Raw genomic sequence first — 6,818 nt, forward strand, 5'->3', positions numbered from 1 at the left:
GTCATTTGCTGCCTGAGTGACCTTGGGCAAGTGATTTAACCTCTCTGAGCCTCAGTTTCATCTGTAAGAGGGGTTTGACCATAGGACCTACTCCTCATACATCCCTATCACTGATGAGATGATTGAATTAGATGACACAAGTGGAGTTCTAGTTCAGATTCTGGCACAAAGCTGGTCTTTAGGGAATGGTAGTTATTGTAACTAACTTTAGCTCAAGAGGTGAGCTTCCTGACAGGGGACTCCATTGCAACCTTTCTTGAATCTATTCATCCTCCCTCTTTGTTCTTCATTCACAGCAGGAAGGGAAAAATTCCTGATGTGCAGTGGGAGAAATTTAAGTTGGATCCAGGCAGACATGTGCTGGTAAATGTTTAACAACCAGCTCTACAGGAAAATAAAAGCACTGATCCGCGGCATTTGCGGATTTCCACCCCTCCATGGCTGATTTCAAACAACCAACATGATGTTGCTGAACAATGGAGTTGGGACAAGATGTGTGCAGTTGGCTCTTATGAGCCAGCACCAGTACACCACTGGACTCAGGGGAGGATACCTTTAAAATACTAGGGAGTGGGGAAAAACAGGTGGTTCCTAAGTTCTGAGGAAGACTGTCAAAAGAAATTCCTCAAGTACTGTTGAGAGGATGGGGGATGAACTCACATTATGCTTTGACTTAAAACTCCAGAGTTCTCTTTAAATGATAGCCTTTAAATCCTCCCTCCTGCTCCCACATACAGCCAGTCAGGTCTCTGGCTCTATTTCTTCCTTAAAATATCCCCTGCAGGCCGGGCATAGTGGCTCATGCCTGCAATCCCAGCACTTTGGGAGGCTGATACGGGTGGATCACTTGAGGTCAGGCAGATCTTGAAAGACCAGCCTGGCCAACATGGTGAAACCCCGTCTCTACTAAAAATACAAAAATTGGCTGGGCGTGGCAGCATGTACCTGTAATTCCAGCTACTGGGAGGCTGAGGCAGGAGAATTGCTTGAACCCTGGAGGAGGAGGTTGCAGTGAGCCTAGATCATGCCACTGCACTCCAGCCTGGGCAACAGAGTGACACTGTGTCTCAAATAAAAAAAAAAAAAAAGGGAAAAAGAAAGAAATAAAATATCCCCTGCATCCATCCATCTCTTTCACTTCATGGCCCGCATGGCCACCCCAGCCCATGGGCTCAGACTGTCAACTCTGAAATACTGCTCCTTGTCCCTGCCCCTTCCCACCCATTCTGTACTAGAATGGACCAGCCATGCCACCCCTAAGCCAGCATTCATTGCATCATCCTCATTCCAGCTTCACTGCCATATGGTTCCAGGCTTGCTGTCCCATTCATTGTAAGTGCTGCTGCCTGGCTGTCCCAGCTTTCACCTGGCCCCTCAGTCTGGAAGTGGTCTATGTGTGAATCTCAGATTTCCTGCTTACTAGTGATATGCTCTTGGGAAAATTACAGAACACTTTCTGAGCCTTCACTTCCTTACCTCTAAAATAGTGATAATGAAAGAACTTTCTTAGGGATGTTTCAAAGGTCAAACAAAATAGTTCTAAAAAAGGCTTGGTAAAATACCTGGCCCCATTGTAAATGCGGAATTGAATATTGGCTCAATGACGACTCTGATGATAAGTACTGCTAGTACTAACGGTAAATGGTAGCTAGTTGAAGGATGATTTTCCTCCTACCTGAATTCTACCCCACTCTCCTTTGCTAGTCCAATGCCACTTTTCTTTTGGCTTTAGTTCTATTTTTTCTGATATACTTTTTCTCTGCACTCATTAGCTCCTTTTTCTCTGAGCTTCTGAAGCAATTACACCCTGCAGTGGAATATTTAATTCAATATTGCCCCTGACTATTCCCTGTTGATGTCAACCTTGTCTTCCTGGCTCATCTTTTTCAGCTTGCAGGGAGCAGCCTGTCTCTATCATCTTCTCCCCTGGAGGGTCTTGGATCAGCAGCCTCACACCAGCAGCCAAAGCGGCTGTGGCTGTGAATGGTACTGAGCTGTGCCTGGTATTTTGCCTGCACCATCTCATTTTATTTTTTTTCATTGAGCCAAGATTTATTGAGCACCAGCTATATACTGGGCACTGAGGCTACACAGTGAATAAGACAAGAGCCTCTGTCTTCCAGGAGCTCACAGTGTAGCCAGAGGAGCTAACCCTGAACACAAAATTACCTAAACCAATGTCCAAAGATGGACCATGCCCAAGAGCTGTGGAGGGGAAAAGAGGGTATTCCAAGAGGTTAGAGCAGGGGCCTGATTCAAAGAGGGGCAGGGGTCTAGGCAGGAGTTACTGAGGGGAAGAGATTTCCCAGGAAGCTCATATTCTGGGGGCCGAGTGGAATGGCTGAGTGCTGAGGACCTGAGATAGGCCCAAGCAGCTGGAGGGGCAAGCAGGAGGGAGAGCAGCCCGCAGTGACGGGCAGGCAGGCAGGGCCAGGGCCTGCAGGGCTTCCCAGGTGGGTTGGGTATTTGGGTCTCTATCCTAAAGTTGGCAAGCATTTAATTCTCAGAGATCTTAGGCAGTAGCATCCATTATCAGCTCCATTTCATAGCAGAGGAAATTGAGACCCAGAGAGATGAAGTCACTTGCCTAGGGTCACACGGCTAGTCACTAGTCAGCCACAAAGCAAAGGCCAGCGTTGCCAAACACACCGCCTGCTGAGTGATTGATGGCAGCACTGACCACTGTGAGCCTGCCCAGCCGGCCTTCCCACGGGCTATCTGGAACGCACCCTCTAATTGGAGCTTTCCTCCAAGCAGGGCCAGCCTGAGGCCCTCTCAGAAGCACTGAACCAGTTTGGTGGGAGTAGAGATGTCAGCGGTTCTGATGTCATGACTGGCTTTGAAGAGCTCAGCTCCCACTGCTGCTTCCATTCCCAGCCCCTGGGGACTGCAGTGAAACTCTCTGGGTTGTGTTTTGTTTTCCCCAGAAGTCTGGGGCCAGGGTACTGAGAAAGGGAGGAGGGTGGTTTATGGTGAGCCGTGTGATTTTTCAGGATTTAGCTGGGACATTCTTGGCCCAGAAGCCAATACTGGTACAAAGAGACCTGAGGAAGCGCCACATCCTGGTTCTCCGGGAGACAGGATGTGCTCAGGAATCTGTGAAATAGGCTGTATTTGTCTCTCAACTCCTCTGAGTCCCCTTTCGTCTAAGGCCTCCTTCCTTTCTTAGCGAGTCCCCAGGGAGATTTGGTCTGGAGCCCTTTCCTTGTGCCTCCCTGGGGCCTCAGCCTTCCCAGCCAGGCCTCCAGAGGGCCCCTCCCCAGACATTAACGATGCTACTAGGTGATAATGACACCTCCAGGGTCAGACCCCAGGCGGCAGGAATTTCAGGCACCAAATGGAGGTGGCTTTTTGGCCCCCCTCGAGTCAACCTGTCACTCTGAGGAGAGAATTCTTTTTATTTCCAGAGTCTTCGACGGTAGGCAGATTTATTTTCATCCAACATTAAAACCCCTCGGTTTGTGGAGAGGAAGGAGCTTGAAGCTCAGTGTGCCAGAGGGGCCAACGGAGCAGGGAGAGATGGGAAGAAAATGAGAAAAGTAACCCTCTTGCCTGGCGTCCTGCCAGGGAAAGTCCTCTGCTCAACCCTGATCCTGGCCCTTCTGGCACGGCATGACCAGAGGCCCTGGGTCAGGCTGCCCTTTATGGCCTTCCCATGGCCCTTCCTTCCAGCCACTTGACCAAATGCCCCTGCATGCGAGGGGGGTGCGCTGCTCTCCAGCTGGTTTGCCAAGGACCCCTACTCCCACCTCCCTCCATAAAAAACTCAGCACCTCTGGGGCCAGAAGAGGACGTGCAGCAAATTCCCACCAACAATTTTGTCTGAGGGACAGGAAGGTTTGCTGACTTGTCGCCCTAAGGATTCGCTCTTTGCTTTTCCTTTTGCAGTTTGGAATCTATCTGTTCGCAGCTTCCCTTTGGCTGCACCATGTTGTGGGTCTTAGGCTCCATCAGCATTTGGTCAGGACAAGTTGGCCCATGGTTTCTCTGATGCAGAAATGGTGTCAACAGGTCCCAGGAGCCAGCGATCTGAGCCTGCACACACACACACACACCCCCACACCCACCCATCCCCGCAAACAATGCCTTCAGCTCACCCTGACCTCCCTGTCTTCTTTGTATCCTTCCTGACTTTTTCTGTCCTCTTTACCCCACTCTAGCTCAGGGCCTTCCTGGCTAATCTCTGACCTGTACTCTGCCTCTCTAATCCATCCTGTAAATGGCTAGCACATTAATTTTCCTAATAATAATTATAGCTAACATTTGGTGAGTGTGTTCTGTGAGTCCGGTGTACCAGAAACTTGCATTAAGTTGTTGAGTATTATATCCATTTTGTAGTTGAGGAAACAGACAGGTTGAGTAATTTGCCTAAAGTCAGATAGCTAATAAGTGGCAGTACTGGGATTTGAACAAAGTCAGTCTGGATGCAGAGCCTGCGTGCTGATCATCACTAACGCTGAATTTCTTTTTAAACCCTTTTCTAAGTGTTTATGATGAATAAAGCATTAGGCCAGGTACTGAGGCCATTTAAACATGAGTAAGATTAAACTTGCTTCCTCCTGCAGTTCTGGCCCCAGGGAGTTGACTTGTCTGGGAAGACGAGTAAGACGAGTCCAGAAACGGCCTATGCAGGAGAGGGTAGAGAACCTTTCACAGAGAATGTGCACACAGAAGGCCTTTCCTACAGAGGATGGAGAAACCACATCTGGTTTGTGAGAATCAAAAGTTGGCCGGCATGGTGGCTCATGCCTGTAAACCCAGCACTTTGAGAGGCTGGGCAGATCACTTGAAGCCAGGAGTTTGAGACAAGCCAGGAGTTTGAGACAAGCCGGGCCAAGAAAGCGAAACCCCATCTCTACTAAAAATACAAAAAAGTTGACTGGGCGCGGTGGCTCATGCTTGTAATCCCAGCACTTTGGGAGGCCAAGGCGAGCGGATCACGAGGTCAAGAAATCAAGACCATCCTAGCTAACATGGTGAAACCCCATCTCTACTAAAAATACAAAAATTCAGCCAGGCATGGTGGCATGCACCTGTAATCCCAGCTACTCAGGAGGCTGAGGCAGGAGAATCACTTGAACCCGGGAGGCGGAGGTTGCAGTGAGCTGAGATCGTGCCACTGCACTCCAGCCTGGGCAACAGAGCCAGACTCCATCTCAAAAAAACAAAAAAAAAACAAACAAAAAAATTAGCCAGGCGTAGTGGCACCAGAAAGGAAGAGTTCCAGGGAGGCGGGTGGGTGGAGGATAGTTTGGAAAGTCAGATAGGGCTCAGGGTCCTGGGGGTGAGGAAGCACCAGATGGGAGCAAAGAGGGTGAATGTGATGCCCGGAAACCACAGGACAAACCGAGATAGAAATGCCCTGACCACAAGACACAGATCCCTGAAAACTCAACATGGAATTAAGGTTTAGTTTTATTTTAAGACAATGGGCTCTGGACTGTCTGAGTTCTCATTTCTGCTCTAGCACTTACCAGCCCTGTAATCAAGGCAAATAACGCAACCTCCCCCTTGCCCACATATCAGTTTCCTCATCTGAAAAGCGGGCAAATTCAGGGCTAGGACCAGGGAAGGTGAGCAAGACAGGTGCTGTGAGTATAAAATTTAAGGGATACTCCCTAAAACCTCAGTCATCAAGATGAATAATACTTAAATGCAATATTTTTAGAGAGTCAAAATCAATGCAAAAAAATCTGCGATGAACAAAGCATCAAACATTTAAATAAAGGAAACTCATACCAAGCCAGCCCGGAGCCTGAAGCAAAAGAAAAAATCAGTAATAATGATCCTGTCTTAAGATAAAGGCACGTAGGCCGGGCACAGTGGCTCACACCTGTAATCCCAACACACTCATCTCACCTTGGTCCTGGCCCTGATTTGTAACACTAGGTATTGGGTGGCTGCAAGGATTAGACAAGATCGTGCATGTTAAGTGCTGAGCGTGCATCTGGCAGGAAGTGCCTTGTAGAACTTGGGGATCCAAGGCCTGTGTTTTGAGGTGAGATGGAGCTGTGTTTGAACACCTGCTCCACCACTTCCCAGCCATGAGACTTGGGCCACAGCCTGTTTCCTCATCTATAAATGGTGAGAGCACCTTGTTTGCCGGGGCTGTTGGATGACATGGGATGAAAAAGGCAAACTGTCTCACACGATGCCTGGCACAGAGAGTCAAACGATCATGCTTGTAGCAGATGCCTGCGTTCGCCAGCAAGCATATGTTGTACCTGCACATGGAGGCTTTCTGCTTGCTCCTGGTAGATTATTGCACTTGCCGGCTTTTCTTTTCTAATAATTTTTCATTTTATTATTGGGGCGCGAGATTTAGCTGTGTTCCATGGGTCTAGCCGCCAAGTCCTGCAGTCTCGCTGTATTCCTCTGTGCCATTCACCCCTGCGACCCTCTGTGGTGCTGCTCCTGACCAGACTTCCAAACTCACAGGGACCTGGCTGCCCTGACTAGCAGCCCTGTCCACCCCTACCTTTTCTCTACCCAGGCCAGAACTGGGTTCTGGGCTGGATTATTTGGTGGTATTATCACCTAAATGATGGAGTCCTTGGCCTGGCCTTCACAAGGCTCAGAGAGCCCTATTCATTCCAAGCTGTCACTCCCCCTTGCTCTGTGCCGCTGCTCTGCTTCCCCACCACCCCTCTACCTCTTTGGTGGGAACACTGCCCCCTTCCCCAGGTATTGGCCGCCCACCTATGACATCTTCCTTTGTGGTGCAGCTGTAGGTGCTCTTTGCTTGTTCCCAGACCGAACCACTGGCATAAAATGCCATTGTCATTAAAGCAATCCCTTAAAAAATCTACCCTGCCACT

The 6,818-nt window shown here is 49.1% G+C and overlaps 2 annotated features.

Moving 5' to 3' along the window:
• Nucleotides 1,890-2,456: an enhancer, noted in NCBI's record as "H3K27ac-H3K4me1 hESC enhancer chr5:141659038-141659604 (GRCh37/hg19 assembly coordinates)". NCBI's record gives its function as "activates a minimal SCP1, AML or CMV promoter by ChIP-STARR-seq in naive H9 embryonic stem cells {active_cell/tissue: H9 hESC(naive)}" and the evidence as "EXISTENCE:reporter gene assay evidence [ECO:0000049][PMID:30033119]".
• Nucleotides 2,457-3,023: an enhancer, noted in NCBI's record as "H3K27ac-H3K4me1 hESC enhancer chr5:141659605-141660171 (GRCh37/hg19 assembly coordinates)". NCBI's record gives its function as "activates a minimal SCP1, AML or CMV promoter by ChIP-STARR-seq in naive H9 embryonic stem cells {active_cell/tissue: H9 hESC(naive)}" and the evidence as "EXISTENCE:reporter gene assay evidence [ECO:0000049][PMID:30033119]".

The sequence above is a fragment of the Homo sapiens genome, chromosome 5 (assembly GCF_000001405.40).
Source record: "Homo sapiens chromosome 5, GRCh38.p14 Primary Assembly".
Taxonomy (NCBI): domain Eukaryota; kingdom Metazoa; phylum Chordata; class Mammalia; order Primates; family Hominidae; genus Homo; species Homo sapiens.